This window comes from Homo sapiens, chromosome 1 (assembly GCF_000001405.40).
Source record: "Homo sapiens chromosome 1, GRCh38.p14 Primary Assembly".
In the NCBI taxonomy this organism is placed as follows: Eukaryota; Metazoa; Chordata; class Mammalia; order Primates; family Hominidae; genus Homo; species Homo sapiens.
Genome location: NC_000001.11, coordinates 11,381,403 through 11,403,428, shown reverse-complemented (window position 1 = coordinate 11,403,428; position 22,026 = coordinate 11,381,403). Strand labels below are relative to the sequence as shown.

The 22,026-nt window shown below is 49.9% G+C and overlaps 1 long non-coding RNA gene across 1 annotated transcript, besides 2 other annotated features; it reads right to left on the bottom strand.

Annotated features, from left to right (window-relative positions):
• Positions 2,541–2,741: a silencer, noted in NCBI's record as "peak75 fragment used in MPRA reporter construct". NCBI's record gives its function as "represses an SCP1 promoter by STARR-seq MPRAs in K562 erythroleukemia cells {active_cell/tissue: K562}" and the evidence as "EXISTENCE:reporter gene assay evidence [ECO:0000049][PMID:32103011]".
• Positions 5,216–8,494, bottom strand: LOC124903841 (uncharacterized). Its single transcript, XR_007065459.1, has 2 exons — positions 8,164–8,494; positions 5,216–5,423 (listed from the first exon to the last, which is right to left on the bottom strand). It is a non-coding gene; the product is annotated as an uncharacterized LOC124903841 (long non-coding RNA).
• Positions 7,400–7,899: an enhancer, noted in NCBI's record as "H3K4me1 hESC enhancer chr1:11455587-11456086 (GRCh37/hg19 assembly coordinates)". NCBI's record gives its function as "activates a minimal SCP1, AML or CMV promoter by ChIP-STARR-seq in naive H9 embryonic stem cells {active_cell/tissue: H9 hESC(naive)}" and the evidence as "EXISTENCE:reporter gene assay evidence [ECO:0000049][PMID:30033119]".
• Positions 8,495–22,026: the final 13,532 nt, after the last annotated feature.

The window sequence follows — 22,026 nt, the reverse complement described above, 5'->3', positions numbered from 1 at the left end:
TAGGTAAAGAATAGATGTGTGTTTATTGTTGTAACAGTTGTTTTTTTTTATTTTTTGTTTTTTTGGTTGGTTTTCTTTTTTTTTTTTTTTGAGACAGAGTCTCGCTCTGTTGCCCAGGCTGGAGTGCAGTGGCACAATCTTGGCTAACTGCAACCTCCGTCTCCCGGGTTCAAGGGATTCTCCTGCTTCAGCCTCCTGAATAGCTGGGATTACAGGCATGAGCCACCACGCCCGGCTCATTTTTTGTATTTTTAGTAGAGATGGGGTTTCACAATGTTGGCCAGGCTGGTCTCGAACTCCTGACCTCAAGCGATCTGCCTGCCTCGGCCTCCCAAAGTACTGGGATCATCCCCAAGCTTAAAACAACAGCTTTTTATGATTTCTTGCAAGCCCCCTGGTTGCTGGCCAGGCAATTCCACCAACCTGGGCAGGGCTTGCTTAAGGGTCTGTCATCCACCAGTGGGTGCACTGGAGCCTGACTGGTCTAGGGATCCCATGGCTTGTATGATGAACCTCTCCTCCATAGATCTCTACATCCCTCAGGCAGGCGGGCCTGGGAGTGTCCTCATGGCAGTGGCAGAGATCCAAAAGAGGAAGAGGGAAAAGCAATGCACAACACACTTTATAAAGCTGCCACTTGCATCAGTTGAGTTGCTGTCCCATTGGTCAAAGCAAGTCACTTGACCAAGCCCGGAGTCAGTGTGGGAAGGCACTTCCAAAGGGGTGGATAAAAGGGAGGTAAAGTGGTGAAAGCAGGCAATTTACCATCATGGTATTACTGTCTTAACTTTTCAATAGGTTTGAAATAATTCAAAATAAAAAGCTAGAGCAATGAAACAAAAATGAGATTCTACTGCACACCTACTAGAATGGCCAAAATCCAGAACACTGACAACATCAAATGCTGGTGAGGATGTGGAGCAACAGGAACTCTCCTTCCTTGCTGGGTGGGAATGCACAATGGTACAGCCACCTTGGAGGCCAGTTTGGTGGTTTCTGACAAAACTCAACATACTCTTACCACATGATCCTTGGTATTCACCCAAATGAATTGAAAATTTATGACTGCATGAAAACCTGCACATGGATGTTTATAGCCGCTTTATTCATAATTGCCAAAACTTGGGAAGCAACCAAAATGTCCCTTCAGCGGGTGAATGGATGAATAAACCGTAGTACATCAGACAATGGAATATTATTCAGTGTTATATACAGGCCAGGCGTGGTGGCTCATGCCTGTAATCACAGCACTTTGGGAGGCTGAGGCGGGTGGATCGCCTGAGGTCAGGAGTTTGAGACCAGCCTGGCCAAATGGTGAAACCCCATCTCCACTAAAAATACAAAAATTAGCCAGGCATGGTGGTGCACGCCTGTCATCCCAGCTACTTGGGAGGCTGAAACAAGAGAATCGCTTGAACCCAGGAGGTAGAGGTTGCAGTGAGCCGAGATCACACCACTGCACTCCAGCCTGGGTGATGGAGTGAGACTCCATCTCAAAAATTAAAAAAAAAAAAAAAGAAAGAAAGAAAGAATTGAGCTATCAAGTCATGAAAATACATGGAGGAGCCTTAACTGTGTATAACTAAGTTGAAAGAAGCCAATCGGAAAGGGATGCACCCTGTATGACTCCAACTAGCTGACATTGTAGAAAAGGGAAAACTATGGAGACAAGAAGATCAGCAATTGCTAGGGATTTGGTGGGGAGAAATGAATAGGCGGAGCACAGAGGATCTGGGGGACAGTGAAACTACTCTGGGTGATGCTCTAATAGTAGATACAGGTCATTATACACTTGTCCAAACCCACAGAATGTACAACACCAAGAAGGAGCCCTACTGTAAACCATGGAATTTGGGTGAATATGATGAGTCCAGAGAGGCCCATCGATTGTAACAAATGCACCACTCTGATGGGGGTGTTGGTAATGGGGGAGGCTATGAATGCATAGGGGCAGAGGGTATATGGGAAGTCTCTGTACCTTCTTAACTTTTCTGTGAACCTAAAATCACTCAGAAAAAAATAAAGTTAAAGAAACAAAAGTTTTTTTTTAAATCCGATCTAGGCTGGGTGTGGCGACTCACTCCTGTAATCCCAGCACTTTGAAAGGCCAAGGCAGGCGGATCACTTGAGGTCAGGAGTTCAAGACCAGCCTGGCCAACATGGTAAAACCCTGTCTCTACTAAAAATACAAAACTTAGCTGGGCATGGTGGTGTGCACCTGTAGCTCCACCTACTTGGGAGGCTGAGGCACAAGAATTGCTTGAGCCCAGGAGGTGGAAGTTGCAGTGAGCCGAGATCATGCCATTGTACTCCAGCCTGGGCGACAGAGCAACTCTGTTTAAAAAAAAAAAAAAAAATCTGATCTAATATGTCCCTACTCTACTTAAAACTCTTCATTAGGTCCAGTGAAAGACACACAAGAACATTCTCTGTAGCTTTACTAGGCAAAGCCCCAAATCATAATGTCCATCAACAGCATTGAAGATCCAAAAATCGTGATATAACATGGAACAATAAGCAGCGATGAAAAACAGTGAACTGCTCCTGCTACACACAACAACGTGGGTGGACTTTGCTGATAGTGATGAGCAAGAGAAGGGAAAACTCAGAAGTGTGCTTAATGGATGACTCCAATTACATGAAGTTCAAGAAGCGAGAATGAGTCAACAGTGATTATTGTGGGGAGTATCTATAAGCAAGGGGCACGAGGGAACTTTCTGGAGTGCTATAAATGTTCTGTAGCTCACTGCGTGGTGGACATGGTGCCTCCATGTGAAAAAAATTATTAAACTAGACACTTAAGATGTGTGCACTTTATAAGTTATATTTCAAAAAATGTAAGCACACACACACACGCACACACACACAACCTTAAATCCTTAAATCTTGGTTTCTTGGTACCCTGGATAAGATCCAAATTCCTTAACACTCAATTCAATTTCATTTACCTGAACACATGTTTATTCATCTCTGTCCAACATGCCAGGAGCAGCAAGCAGAGTGGCCGTCCCACCTCTCCCTGTCCAGCACAGGTGCTTGATAAATGTGCATTGAAGCCACATGGAGGCCTTGCGGGTACCCAGGCATCAGATGGGGTGGCATCCCTGCCTCCTGGGCTCCTTCCAGGCCCACTTTGGTGACTGTCGACAGCCACCTTGCAGGCACTACCCCCTCCCCCTCCTCACCCAGGCTCCAGCAGCCACCCCACTCCTCACTGCTGCACACTTTACAATCATTGTGAAACATAATGATTCTTACCCTGGAGAGAAATTGGATTCCATTTTCTATTTTATTGCCTGAAAAAGGACATTTTTTACCTTCCCACGGTCTGCAGGCAGCAGGAACACGACGATAAATCTCAGCGCAGGCTTCCACCACTGAAATAGACAGTCCAGCAGGGAACCACTGTGGTCCAAACCGGAAAGGATAAGCAAGAAGTTGTTCCTGCTTTGCCACCCCACACCGGTGCCCTGTCTTCAACACCACCTGGGCAGCCTCAGGGCTGAAAGGCCTCAGCCTTTGAACTTGCCTCTCCTCCAGCCTTCCTGTCTTCATTCAGACAAAGACTTCTTGCCTCCAGAGAGAACATGGGCCGGGCATGCCTGTAATCCCAGTAGTTTGGGAAGCCAAGGGGGGCAGATCACCTGAGGTCAGGAGTTCAAGACCAGCCTGGCCAACACGGTGAAACCCCATCACTATTAAAAAAAAAATACAAAAATTAGCCAGGTGTGGTGGCATGAGCCTGTAATCTCAGCTACTCAGGAGGCTGAGGCAGAAGAATCACTTGAACCCGGGAGACAGATGTTGCAGTGAGCCAAGATCATGCCACTGGGTGACAGAGCAAGACTGTCTCAAAGGAAAAAAAAAAAGAGAGAGAACATAGTTGGTTTGTCAAGCACTTACTGGGAGCCTGCCATGCACTTTATCATGTTTTGTTTCAGCAGCCCTAGGATGGAGATGCTTGCATTAGCCCATTTTACAGATGAGAGGACTGAGGTTCATGGAGGTTAGGCATGCAGCTGGTAAGGAGCGAGCTGGAATGTGAACTGGGGCTTTCAGGAACCCAATCGATGCTTCTCGTCATGACTTCCCTCAATTCCTTTTGGCTGTTTGTTTGTTTGTTTGTTTGTTTTAAGATGCAGTCTCGCTCTGTTACTGAGGCTGGAGTGCAGTGGCGCCATCTCGGCTCACTGCAACCTCCGCCTCCCGGGTTCAAGCAATTCTCCTGCCTCAGCCTCCCAAGTAGCTGGGATTACAGCCACCATGCCCAGCTAATTTTTGTATTTTTAGTAGAGACAGAGTTTCCCCTGTTGTCCAGGCTGGTCTCAAACTCCTGACCTCAAGTGATCCACCCGCCTTGGCCTCCCAAAACTTCCCCTCAATTCTTAAAGACCTAGCCAGCTGGGCAGGGTGGCTCACACCTGTAATCCCAGCACTTTGGGAGGCTGAGGCGGGCAGATCACCTGAGTTCAGGAGTTGGAGACCAGTCTGGACAACATGGCAAAACTCCTACTCTACTAAAAATACAAAAATTAGCCAGGCAAGGTGGCAGGTGCCTGTAATTCCAGCTACTCGGGAAGCTGAGGCAGGAGAATCACTTGAACCTAGGAGGCAGAGGTTGCAGCGAGCCAAGTTCATGCCATTGCACTCCAACGTGGGCTACACAGTGAGACTCCGTCTCAAAAAAAAAAAAAAAAAAAATTCCTAGCCAGGGAGACCAGAGATACTTTGGGGTAGATGGCAGCAGAAGTCCCCAGGCTGCCTCCTGGTGCTCAGTTGCAGGCCTGCCCCAGGCATGCTGTTGTCAGTCTTATAGGAGAGTCCTAGCTGTAATCTCTTTCCATTAGTTGCTGGGCGGCTTGAACAAATGTATTAGTGTCCCCAGAGAGGTTGCTGTGCTCACTTGGTTGCATGGCTAAAGACAGAATCAGGACTAGAACCCGACGCCCCTGACTCCTGACCTACAGTCACTCTTCTTACCTCGCATCCTGCCCCACTGACTGTCTTCCAAATATTTACTATTATTCCTTTCTAATACATTTGAGAATGTATGGTTTAACCATTGCTTACTTATTTAGGTTGATGCAAACGTTCTTGCGGATTTGCCATTAAAAGCAATGGCCAAAACTGCAATAACTTTTGCTCCAACCAAATAATAACATCACGGAGTTGTAAAATGTAGCACTCAGGAAATAAACCAGTCACACAGTACCACTGATTGTGTGATTCCATTTATATGAAACATCCAGAACAGGACGTGGACTTAACAGACCGGAGGGGGCAAGTGTAGAGGCAGGAGACCAGTTAGGAGACCAGGGCATTGCTCCCGGTACAGTCAGCGGCATCTCTGACCAGGAAGAGGCAGCAGCGCGGGGAAGAAGTTGTTGGATTCTGATTATTTGAAGGTAGAGCCTCCAGGATTCCTTGAAAGACAGCGTGTGAGAGAGACAGGTGTCAAGGACAACCCCAGGGCTTTAGAGCTGAGCCCCTGGGCCATCGGGACACCCTTCACTGGGCCTGATGAGACGGGGTTGAGGGTGAAGACGCTTAGTCTGGATCTGTGACATTTGGGAAGCCAATTGGGAACCAGCCCTGGGAAGGAAGCCTCCAGAGTCCCTGATCCACACTCCCAGGACACTGGAAAGTGCAGGCCCTGGCCAGCGAAGGCACCCCCTGAGACACAAGACAGAGGATGCCGGTACATAGGGAACCATCTGTCCCTCCCCCGCCTGTCAGGAGGACACCACGTGGCTGTGTTGGGAAGGAAGGTTCCTGTTGCTGGGCAGGAGCCCTGGAAAAAGGTCTCATCACACCCGCCACAGCCGCTGGGCCTCTCCAGAAGCTTCTGAGAGGTTTCCCCAGAGGCTGTGCAGCTGGGACAGAGACCCCTCCGGGCAGTTTAACACAGACAAGCCTCAGAGGAGGGGGCACTGGAGCAGGGTTGGCTGCAAGAGGAAGGGGACAGGCACACACTTCCCGGGAAGCCCAGAGCTGGCTTCACACCCTCCAGGGCCAGGAAGGAGGATGCCAAGATGCTGCCCGCTGGGTCCAGGGCTGGCCTGGGGAAGAGGATACCAGCCAGTGTCCAGTGGGGCATGGCATCTGAGGCAGTGGAAGGTGGGTCCGTGGCAGGGGACATGGAGTGGCAGCCCCCGCCCGCTTCACCACCTGCTGCCCACCAGCTGTCCCAAGCTCAGGCTGGGAGGCCCCGCTCCCACGGTCCAAGGAGATGCTCAGGGACACACTTGGAGCACCCCAGACCCAAGCCCGCCCTCCCAGGGGCAGACACTGTTCATTCACGCGTGCATTCAATCCGCAAATATTTCGCTTTTTTTGAGACAGAGTTTCGCTCTGTCGCCCAGGCTGGAGTGCAATGGCATGATCTTGGCTCACTGTAACCTCCACCTCCCAGGTTCAAGCGATTCTCCTGCCTCAGCCTGCTGAGTAGCTGGGATTACAGGCACTTGCCACCACGCCTGGCTAATTTTTCTATTTTTAGTAGAGACGGGGTTTTGCCATGTTGGCCAGGCTGGTCTCGAACTCCTGACCTCAGGTGATCCGCTAGCCCCAGCCTCCCAAAGTGCTGGGATTACAGGTGTGAGCCGCTACACCCGGCCCCACAAATATTTCTTGAGGGCCCACGAAGCGGTCACCGCAGGCATGTGGGATCTGTCTATGAACAAAACCGACAAAATAATCCCAGTGTTGGGGTGGGGTGAGAGGAGACAGACAATAAAGAATCACATAATAAATGAGTAAATTATACGGTGGTTAGAAGAGGGCACAGACTATGTCAGCAAAAAGAAGACAAAGCAGGGGAGAGTTAGGACGGTGGAAGTGAGGTGCGAAGTTGTGATCTTGAATCAGGAGGGGAGGGGAGACCTCTTTGAGAAGGTGACATTTGCACAAAGACTTGAAGGAGCTGAGGAGTTAGGAGGTGAATTCCCGGTCCAGCGATGCCCAAGCTGTTTCACCTCTTGCCATCCCTGCCCTTCCCTAGGAGGCCCCATGCTCGCCCCCGCCCAGCTCCCTCTCCTCTTTCTCCTGCCCTCTCCCTTGACCCGCCTGAGTGGAATAACACCCCACTGGAAACTGGTCATCAGGCCTTGGGTCCCCTGAACTGGCCCCACAGAGTCAACCATAATGGCCATTTTGCCCACCAAGGGCTCTGCTGAAAGGGTGGGCAGCTCATACTTCCCCAAACGCTAGGTCCAGTCCCGGCCTGAGCAGAGTGGGCCCCAGAGGCTGGCTTTCCTGCAGCCTGAACGAATAAAGGGTGGAGCACGCATGTGCCCTGTAAGACCCACAAACCACCCAGTTCACACATACACAAACCACACATGGGCAACACACAATCCACCCCTCATACTACACACCCAGCAAACCCATGCCATGTGCACTATGCAACGTACATACACAAACACAACGTGCAACTCAAATACAAGATGCAGCCAGCCCCCCTGGACCTCCTGACCAGCACCAAACCCTGCTGGAGCCTTCTAGGGGAGTCGGGGAGCATGCCCCAGAGACCTGGAGGAAATGTTGTGCTCCACTGGAGGGATGCTCCACAGCGAGGGGCTGCCTGTGCTGGCCCCAGTGACTAAGCAGCCGGACCTCCTCATCAAAGGCATGGCCGACAGAGCCGAGAGAGCCGAGGGAGAGAGGCTGAGCTGAGTTACAGGGTGCCCAGGGAGTGGGCACATGGCCCCTACTGCTTCTTCCAGTGGGACAGGCTGCGGGGAGCTCTCAGATCGTTGGGTAGTTTCAAGGGCAAGCCAGGCCTGGGGCAAAGACTGGGCTGGAAGTCAGAGACCTGCTGAAGAATGGCTGTGGGGCTTTTGTCAGGCGCTCACCCTCTCTGGGCTGCTGGGGTCACATGGTAAGGAATTGTTTTCTTTTCCCAGCCTCCTTGAGCAAACCAAAAACACATGAAACTTTCAGAGGGGAGACGCCATTAGCATCTCAGGTAGATCAGCCCCATGGGTCTCGCCCACCCCTCCCCTCGTGGCATCCCGTTGCCCGCCTTTGACGCCACAGCCATACCCAGCTACCTGCAGCACTGCGAACATCCCATGCTCTGGCCTCCAGGCTCTCGTACTGTTTCTCCCTCTCCAGGTATCTCTCCCTTCCTCTCGGCACACTCCACCAATAGCTCCCACTCACCCTTCAGGTCTCAGCTGAAAAACTGCCTCTAGCTGGAAGGTTTCCACGCCACTCTTGTCCCAGGTTGGGGGAGCCGCCCTTCCTAAGCTCCCACAGACCGCTGGCCTCTTCCCTCTCACAGCACGTATGGCCCTGGGGTGTAACTGCCGTTTACCCATGGCTTCTTGAGCAAAGGAAATATCTCTTATTCGTTTCCTTATCTCCAATGCCTAGCAGAGTTCCTGGAATACAGTAATTGCCCCTTATCCACCTGTGGTTTCGCTTTCTGAGATTACAGTTACGTGTGATACAGTATAATAGGATATTCTGAGAGACAGAGAGCACATTCACATAACTTTTATTATGGTATATTGTTTAATTGTTCTATTTTTTATCAGTTGTTGTTAATCTCTTACTATGCCTAATTGATAAATTCAACTTTATCATAAGTACACAGGTCTAGGAAAAAACATATTGTGTGTGTATGTGTAACTGGCTCAGTGTTATCAGAGGTTTCAGGTGTCCACTGAGGTCTTGGAACGTGTCCTCCACAGATAAGGAGAGACTACTATAGATGGGTTTTGGGTAGACAAATGGATGGGTGGATGGGTAAAGTCCAATTTTTTTTTTTTTTTTGAAACAGAGTCTGGCTCTGTCACCCAGGCTGGAGTGCACTGGCGCAATCTCAGCTCACTATAGCCTCAACATCCCGGGCTCAAATGATCCTCTCACCTCAGCCTCCCAAGTACCTGGGACTACAGGTGTGCACCACAACGTCTGGCTAATTATTATTATTTTTTGTAGCGATAGGGGGTCTCCCTATGTTGCCCTGGCTGGTCTTGAACTCCCGGGCTCAAGCAATCCTCCTGCCTCAGCCTCCCAAAGTGCTAGGATTATAGGAGTCTGCCACTGTGCCCGGCCCTGAATTTTTGCAGTGTGGAAAAGTTCACCTTCACACTGATGGCATCCCTTCCAATGCCCATATAATTCCTGAGCTGACATTACATTACCAAAATATGACATTGAGCTTCACTTCTCACAAGTACCTGGGAAAACCAGAGCCAAAAAAGTGGAGGAAAGAATTGCAACTTTGGGGCTGGAGTTCTGTGATCACAACTCCATGACCTGAGCCAAGGGAAGAGCAGCCAGAGTCGAAAAAGGGAGCCAGGATAGGCTGGGTCTGCTGGGCAGAGGGCCCAAAAGGGAGCAGCCCATCTGCCCCACCATCCACAGGACCCAGGGTCTGGGGACAGGGCATGTCACCCTTCAACGTCAGCAGAATTGGCTGGCATATGAGAGCAGGCAGGTGCACCCTCTTTAGAGATGGTGGGTCACTGTTGTCGGAAAGAAAGGGGGCCAGGTGTGTCCTGCATCCGATCAGGAGGGCAGTGTGGCTCTCAGGCTGAGGGACACATCTGAAAGTGTCTCCATAGGGTTGGAGAGCCAAATCTAACCAGTGGTGCTATGCCCTGCCTGTTATACGTGGAGTGTTCGACCTGTGCTGACCTGGAGAGAAGGAGGGGCACTGGGTCTGCCAGCATGGGCATCAGGTTGTGGGTAGGGCTTGCACACCAGGCTCATCCCTGCCTGGAGTCAACACCTCCCAGAGCATGACCATGCCCGCTCCACACTCAGCCATGACCTCCGGTGAATCCTCAGTCCAGGTGTCCTAGGTGGTGAGTGAGTAGAAATCAGGGTCATTGGAAGAGCTTTTTTCTCACTGTAAATTGATCACTCGATGTATCATGCAGGATCACCTTCAGCAGAAAGCATCAGCTCCCTGTAAACTAGCAGCTCAACTACATAAGGATTGAGACTCTCAGACAAAAAAGTCCAGATCTAGGCAGTTCAGGGCTGGCGAGTTCTTTCCATGAAGTCATCAGGGACCCAGGACCTTTCTATGTCTGCTCCACCATCCTCAAGATCACCTCTTATTCAAGATGGCTGCTGGTGCTCCATCCATCACAACTACATTCTAAACAGCAGGAAGGAGGAAGGGAGAGAAGAGACAAAAGGGACAGCTCCTTTCTTTTAAAGACTCCTGGCCAGTCGCGGTGGCTCACACTTGTAATGCCAACACTTTGGGAGGCCAAGGCGGGTGGATCACCTGAGGTCAGGAGTTCAAGAACAGCCTGGCCAACATGGCGAAACCCCATCTCTAGTAAAAGTACAAAAATTAGCTGGGCGTGGTGGCGCATGCCTGTAGTCCCAGCTACTCAGGAGGCTGAGGCAGGAGAATCGCTTGAACCCGGGAGACGGAGGTTGCAATGAGCTGAGATCACACCACTGCATTCCAGCCTGGGCAACAGAGTGAGACTCCATCTCAAAAATTATAAATAAATAAATAAATAAATAAACAAACAAACTAACTCTCTAGAAGTTCAGTGTATCACTTACACTTAATTTTCACTGGCCAGAAATTAGCCACATGGATGCACTCCTCTGGGGACTTTTGTTGGTGTAAGTCCCCTTGAGAGCTTTGGGGACACTGAGAACATGAAGCGTCTAAACGTATAAGTCTCATAGCAGATCTTGGGCCCTGGAGAGGCCCCACCTCAGCCACCTGGGAGTCTCTATCTTTGCCAAAATCACCCCGCTAATAAGTGAAAGAGTCAGGATTTGAAACCGGCACCAGCCTGTCTTTGCAGCTCACACTCTTATATGTTATACCACACTGTTACCTTGAGTTCGAGTTCTGGCCTCACCCCTTACTATCCACGTGACCCTAGGAGCTTCAGTTTCTATACCTATAAAATGGGAATAATAATAACACCCGCCTCAAAAAGGTGTTGCAAGACAGATAATATATGCAAATAGATCAAGACAATGTAGGCAGCAGATCAAGAAACTACAGATCTGAATCTGTTTAACAGATTCAGTGGAATTCACAAGGAAGAAGCTGGGCCCCACTGCCACCTTGATGTTGTCATAGACCTTGCTGATGGAAGAGTACATTCTGCAGTAGGTGGCGGACACCAGAGTCCCTGGAAAAGTCATTCTGTAGTATGGTGAGGGAAGCAGTTGCTCAGACTTCTCATCTCCAAGATATTCACGGAGGGTCTGGTGAAGCCCGCTCCCCGTCTTGTGTCTCTGCCCCAAAGCCCCATTGCTGTCAGCTGGTTCAGAGAGGAGCAGAATGAAGAAGGAGATTGCCCATTGCCATGGAAACCAAGGCTAGAGCCCAGCACCCTGCAGCTCCTGGGCACAGAGCGGATATGTGCCTCCGGGTTCCAAGTACCCAGATGCCCCTCCCACCCAGTGTATGTGTGCCTGCATGTGCGCGCACACACACGCACACACACACACACTCCTAGCCACCAGTGGCTGAACTAGTGAACTAGCAGCCATTCAACTGAGCTCTCCCAGGGGTCCAAGTTTCTCCAGGTGGTAAAAGACCAGCTCTCCGGCCAGAGAAGCCAGTTCCTCTGTCAAGGACATCAAAAAGCAAGACTGATCAGAAGGGGCTAAGACAGGCCGTTGGAGACACTTGGCTGTCACATTCAGGAAACCACCTACCTGGGCCAGTGCATGGAGGAGCTTACATGGCCACGCATGTAAGCCACGTGCCAGCAGACGCTCTGGCCCTCCCAGAGGCAAATGAGTTTTGCAATTCCCGGTGTAACAAGTGATCCAGGCAAGGATCATCAATGGATGCAGTAATATGTTCACAAGTCTAACAATATCACCACAGATTACTTATTCATTACAAAAGGGAAAAGATACCTTCAAAGGAGAAATCTAGCAGACACCACGTGATCAAATGTAGGGTCACCAGAAATAGGACAAGCTGACATTACATGCCTCCTTGGGTAACGTAATGAGAAGTGCAAGACATCTTCTATTTAATATTCTCACCAAAAATGTAAGGACTGAATTGAATCATGAGGAAACAATCGACATTCAGGTTGCTGGGCGTTTTACAAGACATCTGATATGGACTCTTCAAAAATGTCAATTACAAGAAAGACCAAAAGACTAGATGAAAGGAGACTAAAGAGACATGACAATTAAATGCAATGCACGATCCTTAAGTGGCTCCTGAATGGGAGAAAACCAGCTATAACTGACATTTTTAGAACAATTGGGGAAATGTGAATATGAGCAGAACGTTAGATAACATTATTACATCCGTGTTAGGTCCTTGGGTATGATAATTATATCATTATGGTTATGGAGGAGAAGATCCTTGCTCATAGAAGACATGTGCTGATTATTTAGGGATGGAGAATCAGATGTCTGCAATTCACTTCCAGATAATCAGAAGAAAGGAAAGAAGGAGAGAAAGTAAAAGTGGCCAACGTTCACAATGGGTGCACCCACGTGCAGGATACACAGATGTTTGATGGACTGCTCTTTCAACTTTTCTGAGGTTTGAAATGTTCAAAATCTCAAAATAAAAGAGGAAAAGACTCTTTAAAAAAGGAGTCAAATGATTCAATATTCCTGGCAGTTTTGTGGGGGCATGTCAGTGGCAAAAGACGGGTGCCTCTTTCATTTTCTCTACGCACCTCGTTTTTTTCTGCTTTGCCCTGTTCTGCATGAGATTCCTCTCCTGGCTCTCGACAGGGGAAACTGAAAGCCCCCAGGGCACTTCATGGTGAGGAACAACTTCTCTGACGGTTTGGAGACGGAGGAGGCTGACATTGCAGAAAATGCAGCATTTGGCATCCTCTTCTTGAAAATACCTTGGTCTCATTTCTCACCCAGTTGTAGCCCACCACCACGTGGCTGGACTCTTCCTACTGGGCTCCCTCTGCCCTTCTTTCTCCTCTCTTCCCCTCCGCTTGTTCTTCTCCTCTGCCCTGGGATCTCACTAGCTCTTTGAAATCTCCTTCTGCCTGTGTTCCAAGGACCAGCACAACTGGCTAAACAAAGAAGGCACTTGCATAACTTTGGAACCCAAATTCCTCTTGGTGTAGCCACATTTTAGTCTTTTTTGTTTGGTTCGGTTTGGTTTTGAGACGGAGTCTTGCTCTGTCACCCAGGCTGGAGTGCAGTGGCATGATCTTGGCTCACTGCAACATTTGCCTCCCAAGTTCAAGTGATTCTCCTGCCTCAGCCTCCCGAGTAGCTGGGACTACAGGCATGCACCACCATGCCAGGCTAATTTTTGTATTTTTAGTAGAGATGGGGTTTCGCTGTGTTGGCCAGGCTGGTCTTGAACTCCTGGCCTCAAGTGATCTGCCCACCTTGGCCTCCCAAAGTGTTGGGATTACAGGCGTGAGCCACTGCACCCAGCCCACAGTCTTCCATACTCTAAACCTTACTCTTTAAGAAAACACAAGGCTGGGTGCAGTGGCTCACGCCTGTAATCCCAGCACTTTGGAAGGCCGAGGCGGGCAGATCACGAGGTCAGGAGATCAAGACCATCCTGGCGAACATGGTGAAACCCCCGTCTCTAATAAAAATACAAAAAATTAGCTGGGCATGGTGGCGGGTGCCTGTAGTCGCAGCTACTCGGGAGGCTGAGGCAGAAGAATGGTGTGAACCTGGGAGGCAGAGCTTGCAGTGAGCCTGAGATCACGCCACTGCAATCCAGCCTGGGCGACAGAGTGAGACTCCATCTCAAAAAAAAAAAAGGAAAGAAAAGAAAACACAAGGCGGCTGGGCATGATGGCTCACACCTGTAATCCCAGCACTTTGGGAGGCCAAGGAAGGTGGATCATCTGAGGTTAGGAGTTTGAGACCAACCTGGGCAACATTGCGAAACCCGGTCTCTACTAAAAATATAAAAATTAGCCTGGCTTGATGGTGCATGCCTGTAGTCCCAGCTACTCGAGAGGCTGAGGCAGGACAGTTGCCTGAACCTGGGAGGCGAAGGTTGCAGTGAGCCGAAATCACGCCACTGCACTCCAGCCTGGGCGAAAGAGCAAAACTCTGTCTCAAAAAAAAAAAAAAGAGAGAGAGAGAGAGAAGAGAAGAAAAGAAAACACAAGGACTCCATTCCACTATCAGTAATAATAATAGCTACTATTTGGGGGGTACTAACCCTGCACTTCGAATACATCATCTCTAACACTTATGAATGTGCCCCATCAGAGGGGCCCTAAGGAACGTGACATTCAGGATGGCTGATGAGCCAGCGCAAAGTCCACAGCCATGAAGCTGAAATGCTACAGAGTGGCAACACAGACACTGCAGACTCAGAGGGGGGAAGGGGACGTGGGGTAGGGATGAGAAATTACCTGTTGGGTACAGTGTACACTATTCAGGTGACAGATACACCAAAAGCCCAGACTTTACCACTCTCATCCATGTAACCAAAAACCATTTATACCCCTAAACCTATTGAAATAAAAATGATATTGTTTTTAAAGTGAAGATGCTGCCTGATCGGGGCCTTTTAAGATGCTTCCCAACTCTGACAAAGAGTGTTTCATGATCAGAGGCTGCCGGAGCTGCCAAAGGCTACCCAAGTACCCAGACAGACAGAGTGGGGGCTGGACCTGAGGACACGCCCTCAGGGCTGGGAGGAGACTAAGGAGATGGCGATGGGCCAGGCGCGGTGGCTCACGCCTGTAGTCCCAGCACTTTGGAAGGCCACGGCAGGTGGATCACCTGAGGTCAGGAGTTTGAGACCAGCCTAACCAACATGGTGAAACTCTGTCTCTACAAAAAATACAAGACAGCTGGGCGTGCTGGCACACACCTGTAATCCCAGCTACTTGGGAGGCTGAGGCAGGAGAATCGCTTGAACCTGGGAGGCAGAGGTTGCAGTGAGCCAAGATCACACCACCACACTCCAGCCTGGGTGACAGAGCAAGACTCCATCTCAAAAAAAAAAAAAAAAAAAAGAGACAGAGGTGGTGAAGCTGGGAGGGGGCTAAAGAGACAGCGATGGTGGGACTGGGAGGGGATTAAAGAGATGGCGATGGTAGGGGCTGGGCAGGAGTTGGAGCATGAACATCTGAGACAATGGCTTAGCTCAGCGCTCAGCGCCCCCCGCTCCAGAATATGAATATTGGACAGGACATCAGGAAGGTACTGGAGTGCCTCCTCCCAAAGTGGGAAGTGGGAATGGCCCCTCTCCCCCACCTCCTCCATCATCCCCCAACTCACCAGCCTTCCCCAGAGGTTCAAGCCACTTCTGCTCCCTCCTGGCTCCAAGCAAGTCAGAAGACCTAAGGGAAATAAACTTGAAAAGAGACTGGGAATGTAATCAAAAGTAGCAACGACGATGTGTGCTGGAAACCAGGAGGAAACTGGCAAACAGCAGCAGAGGGCTGAGGCCTGGGAGAGCCGGGGAGAGACGGAGAGGGCAGAGGTGAAGAGGAGGAAGGGAGAGAGGGTAGGGAGAGGCAGCTCAGCCACACAGCCAGGGCGCAGAGGCTGCCAGACAGGAGGACCCCAGGCTACGCTCCTGGGAAACTGGGAAGAGATGATATCTAGACCCAGAGTCTGGTGTTTCTTCTGAAATGTAAATAAAGCTCACTTCAGTCTGGGGACTTCTGAGGAAGGTGAGAGAAGCTGAGAACAGAGAGAAAGACAGAGGCGCGAGAGGAACACTCTGGAACGCTTTCATGTGTCCTCTAACTGAACACGTAATCTCTAGGGGAAGATGTTGTTACACCCATTTTGCAAGTGAAAACTGAGCTCAGAGAGGTTGCGTTCTCTGCCCAAAGTCACACTGTGAAAAAGCCGTTGACTCCAAACCCCTAGACTGGGCTGACGTGAGAGTCCATTTGGAAGTTATTATCAGAGTGGGAGCCCTTCAAGCTCTCAGCACCAAGACAGTGTCGTGAAGCAGGAGACGGGGGACTTCCTGAGGCCACATACTGAATCTAACAGCCAGGTCTGAGCAAGCGAGAGCATGGGAGGGGAACAGACCCAGAGACATGGGGCCAGAGGGAGGCAGGGGGACCAGGACCTCATCCAGAAATCTCCTTCATGGCCCTCTCACCAGCCCCACAGACTGGACTTCAGGCAGGAACAGCACATGACCAGAAGACAACGTAAAATAAATAAATCAGTAAGAGGAACACGGAACACCCACACTTTCTCTGTGGGGTCTCAAAACAGCAGGGCTCCTAAATGACCACGCGATTGCCTTTGGGTACAGCAGACTTGGGTCTGACACTCACTTCTGCAATTTCGTGTGTGACTGTGGTCCGTCGCTTAACCTCTCTGAGCCTCAGTTTCCCCTTGTGTAAGATGGAGATTATGATCACTCCATCCTCATAGAGTTCCCATGAGCATCATCAAGGGAATGGTGCCAGCAACCCCGGCCATCTACACACCCGTTCCTATTATTGTATTATTCAAATGTATATTAAATGAGCTAGAAGCCACCCTTGCAGATGAGTCCTAGGGTGAATCCTTTCACAACCGGCTTTCCTGATGTCGCTGCTTTGAAGGCCTGGATGCCTGTAATTGGGGTGTAAATGGATGCCCTGTGAATTGTCATCCCTCACTTCCCTGCCTGCCCACTTGAGCTGTAGTTTTCATCCTGGGCTCCTGTTCCTCCTCTCAACTCATCCCTCTAGAATTCTATGCTCATTTCTAAAATCCACAGGAGAGGACACACAGAAGGACAGCAGCCCCAGAGCTAACTGTTGGCCTCTCCGGGTCTGGCATCAAAAGGGGAGCAGAGGCCAGGTGCCGTGGCTCATGACGGTAATCCCAGACCTTTGGAAAGCCAAGGCAGGCAGATTGCCTGAGTTCAGGAGTTCAAGACCAGCCTGGACAATACGGTGAAACCTCGGTTCTACTAAAAATACAAAAATTAGCTGGGCATGGTGGCGCACACCTGTAATCCCAGCTACTCGGGAGGCTGAAGCATGAGAACTGCTTGAACCCGGGAGGTGGAGGTTGCAGTGAGCCAAGATCATGCCACTGCACTCCAGCCTGGGTTACAGAGCAAGAAAAAAAAGGAGCAGAGAGAGCCATCGCTATAAAGTTTAGCCCGTGTGGCTTCCCTTGCGCTAAACCACTGGGCAGATGTGATGCTTAATTTCATGCATCAACTTGATAGCTGATAGAACCTGACTTTGGGGTGTGTCTGTGAGGGTGTTTCCAGAAGAGATCAGCATTTGTTTTTGTTTCTGTTTTTGTCTTGAGACAGTCTTGCTCTGTCACCCAAGCTAGAGAGCAGTGGCGCAATCTCGGCTCACTGCAACCTCCACCTCCTGGGTTCAAGCATCCTCCTGCCTCAGCCTCCCAAGTAGCTGGAACTAAAGGCACCTGCCATCATGCCTGGCTAACTTTTTTTTTTTTTTTTTTTTAGTAGAGATGGAATTTCACCATGTTGGCCAGGTTGGTCTTGAACTCCTGGCCTCAGGTGATCCACCTGCCTCAGCCTCCCAAAGTGCTGGGATTACAGGCATAAGCCACTGCGCCCAGCCAAGATCAGCGTTTGAATCCATGGATGACTAAAAAAGACCACCCTCACCCATGTGGGTGGGCACTGGCCATTCCATTGAGGGCCCAGACAGAGCCAAAAGCTGGAGGAAGGGCCAGTTTGCTCTCTGCCAGAGCTGGGACATCCAGCTCTTCCTGCCCACTGATATCTACGCTCCTGGCTCTCGGACCTTCAGACTCAGACCAGGACTTTGGGTCTGGACTGGAACGACACCACTGGCTTGCCTGGACCTCCAGCTGGCAGACAGCAGATCATGGGACTCCTCAGCCTCCATAATCAGCCTCCACTGAGCCAATCCCTCACAGTGAACGTCTCTCTGTTTACCTGCATCTGTTGGTTCTGTTTCTCTGGAGAACCCTGACTAATACAGCCAGGAACAAAAACAACCCCTATGCCTCACCATCTTCAGTGACTTAGGTCAGCTTCCCCAGCAAACAAACTCTGAGGCACAGCTTTGCATACAGGAGGCTTACCGCGGAGAATTCATTCGCAGCAACGTTAGGGGGCTGGGGGGAAGCACGATTAGGCAGAGGGAGATGCTGGACTGTGATGCAGCTGCAGTGGAGGCCTCCGCCGATCCCGCAGGGAGATCTGGAGCTAGACCGACCCTATGAAGCTGTCCCAAATCAAGGTAAAGGAGTCAGAACTTTGTGCCCTTGCCTGGACCAGCCATTGGATCTGGGCTGCACTTGAGGAGGGGGCATAATCTTGGGTGAGAAAACTCCCTTTGGCAGAGGGCAATTCTGGAGGAGGGACTTCGCCGTGAGCCATCAGCAGCCAGCACTCCCAGTGGCAAGGGAATGAGCACCTTGGTCCTCAGTAGATTTGCGTGGGGCACCGCAGCATTCACTACGGCCACCCCTCGTTCCACTGAGATCCACCTGCTTCACAGAGTGAGTCTGTCCATCTACGGACCATTCTTTCAGGATTCTAGGTGGTCTCTTTCCCTGAAAAAAATCTAAAAGAAGATGGCTAGTTGGTTGCACTACAGTTTCTTTGCCACTACAGCTGGTCCTGAAGCTGCAACTGGTACCCACCCTCTCCCTCCTCTACTGTCCATCTTAGATTCCCCTCAGCCTCGGCGAGCATCTCTGCTGATCTAGAGTTCACCTCGTGGGATGACCCAGACCCTCATCCCTCACAGGTCTGGCCCCTCCCTGGTAACTGTGCCCTTCCCAGCTCATGGCTGCCACACTTACCCATTTACTGTCAAAAATGGGCAAGAGGATAACAAAAGACAGCCCAACAGATCACGTGGGTACCAAAACTGATCTTCCCTGCCTTCATTGTGTAACAGCAATCCTACCTTCTCCTGCCAGTTGCTCAGGGACAGTAATTCCTGCCAGTACAGTGACTCCTTCCCTCGTCCCATGGCCTTTTGGTCCAAGGAATCTGAAATGACCAGGTGGCAGATGTGGGTTAAAGTTTGGGGGAGCTCTTACTCTATACCCTGGTGAAGCGTTCCCCATCTGGAAACCAGAGCAGATCTTCAGACGCACAAAGCTTAAAGTTTCAGGGACAGGAAATGAATTTCCTAAATGAGTCACTGAGGATGACAGTGAGTGATGGCTCTGTTACTTTCACCCCTTAGCTTCCAGACCACGTGTTTTACCTACTGCAGACACAACACCATAGAATAGTATGGTCATTCATTTGGGGTGTGCTCTGTGTTCTGGGGGATGACTCTCCATGCTCACAGGGTGTCATGTCGAAGCTGTCTGTACCAGGCTGAGCAGACGCTCCACCGCTATCAAGACCCAGAAGCACACTAAAGCTATTTTTCGAATAATGCATGATTTTCCACTACAGATGGCATGGCCTTGTTCCAGAACTCTAGGGATCTATGTTGTTATTCTCCTATTGGGACTTGCCATAAACTCGTAGCGTCTTTTCTCACCACAGATATGTCTGTTATCAACGTCTGCTGGGTCACATGACTCCAGACGTGGGACTTGCTTGTACCACAGCCTGGAGCTGCTGCAGAACCCTCTCCTGCCTTGGGCCCCTCTCAGTGCTGGCAGCCATCCTTGGCACTTGGCAAAATGGGTTGCAGCAGTATTTGTCAAGTGTGGAATATATTGCTTAAAGAACCCAAAAAAGGCCTATAAGATGTTTTGTTTCCTTCTGATGTGTGGGAGGTGCAAGATGCAACAACTTGTGGTTTCCTTTGGAGGAGATGTCCTGGCGTGCCCCAAACCAAACCACTGTACTAAAAATTTCACTGATAGGGAGTCCCCACCTTCCGAAGCATGTCTGTCCTATCAAGGCTTCCAAATCACTTGCCACTTCTTGCCCATCCAGACTAATTAACGTGATGTCATTGATATAATGGGCCAATGTGTCTTATTGATATCACGGACCAGTGTGGACTGGGCGCAGTGGCTCATGCCTGTAATCCTAACACTTTGGGAGGCGAAGTGAAAGGATTGCTTGAGCCCAGGAGTTTGAGACCAGCCTGGACAACATAGCAAGACCCTGTCTCTACAAAAAATAAAAAATTAGCCCGGCATGATGGCACACGCCTATAGTCCCTCAGGAGGCTGAGGTGGGAGGATTGCTTGAGCCCAGAAGGTCAAGGCTGCACTGAGCTGTGTTCACACCACTGCACTCCAGCCTGGGTAAAAAAGAGAGCCTGTCTCAATAATAATAATAATAATGGATCAGTGTGATGTTCTGTGGAATGATGGGATGTTCTGGATCCCTGTAGTCTAAAGTTTCTCCACCTTGGCACTATTCACACTTTGGACCAGATAATTCTTTGTTGTAGGGGCTGTCCCATGCATTGGAAGATGTTTAGCAGTATCTCTGACCTCTACCCACTAGATGCCAATAGCATGTCCCCTCCCAGTTGTGTCAATCAGAAATGTCTCCAGACATTGCCAAATGGCCCAGTGGAGAACCAGTTTCATACTATATTATGACAGAGAGTGGCCAAGTTAGCACACACATGGGCAGAACTGTAGGTGAATGCTGTTCTCCATCCTACGGGATTGCAAACTGCTTCCAACTACCCCTCCTACTAGAAATGGAAGAAGAAGCCACTTGCCAGATCAACAGCCACACGCTGTGTCCCTAAGGCTGTGTTAATCTACCCTAGCAGAGACACTCTATGTAGCACCGCAGCTGCAGGTGAGACTACTGCTTGGTTGTACTAATGAAAGTCTACTCTCAGCCCGGCGCGGTGGCTCGCACCTGTAATCCCAGCACCTTGGGAGGCTGAGGTGGGCAGATCACTTGGGATCAGGAGTTCGAGACCAGCCTGGTCAACCCGGCAAAACCTTGTCTCTACTAAAAATACAAAAATTAGCTGGGCATGGTGGCACATGCTTGTAGTCCCAGCTACTCAGAAGGCTGAGGCAGGAGAATCACTTGAATCCTGGAGGCGGAGGTTGCAGTGAGCAGAAATGGTGCCACTGCATTCCAGCCTGGGTGACAAAGCGAGACTCTGTCTCAAAAGAAAAAAAAAAAAAAGAAAAAGAAAAGAAAAAAAGAAAGTCCACTCTCATCTGCTAGAATTCATCTGAATTTCTTTGTTGTTATGTTGTTGTAAGGACCAAGCTAGTGAATTGGATAAGGATGGGATGAGGATCACCACTCATGCATCTTGGGTCTTTAAAAGTGATGCTAATTTCTGCCATTTCCCCTAAACGGTAATGCTGGGTTTGTTTGTTTTGTTTGTTACTTGATCAGGATGGGGGATAGTTTCAGAGACTTCCATCTGGGCTTCACCACATAGCTTTTAGACCAAAGGGCAAGGAAGAGAGTATGAATTCTGCCAATCATGTGTGCCCATCCCAATTACAAATTCTGGAACTAGGGAACTGGGTGGGTTCATGGATTCAGTGTATCTACTGTGGTCAAAGCTCAGACCAGGATTCTATTGATATTCTGGGTCCCATCTGCTCCTACCCTAACAGGAGGCGATGATGACACTTCAGATCCCTACATATCAACACGTCATGTTGAACCCTTTTTGTTTTTTGTTTTTTGACACGGAGTCTCACTCTGTTGCCCAGGCTGGAGTGCAGTGGTGCGATCTTGGCTCACTGCAAGCTCCACCTCCCGGGTTCACACCATTCTCCTGCTTCAGCCTCCCGAGTAGCTGGGACTACAGGCGCCCACCACCATGCCCGGCTAATTTTTTGTATTTTTAGTAGAGACAGGGTTTCACCATGTTAGCCAGGATGGTCTCCATCTCCTGACCTCGTGATCTGTCTGCCTCGGCCTCCCAAAGTGCTGGGATTACAGGCATGAGCCACCACACCTGGCTAATTTTTTTGTATTTTTAGTAAAGATGGGGTTTCACCATGTTAGCCAGGATGGTCTCGATCTCCTGACCTCGTGATCCATCTGCCTCAGCCTCCCAAAGTGCTGGGATTACAGGCGTGAGCCACCGTGCCCGGCCCATCTTGAACCCTTGAATCTTGTAGCCAGTAATCTTAGAAATGTCTGGTTGTTCCTTTCACCAGGGTACAGTAACTCAAACAAATGGCTGCAGGTTCTTTTGAAGAGGAATGGGGTAACCA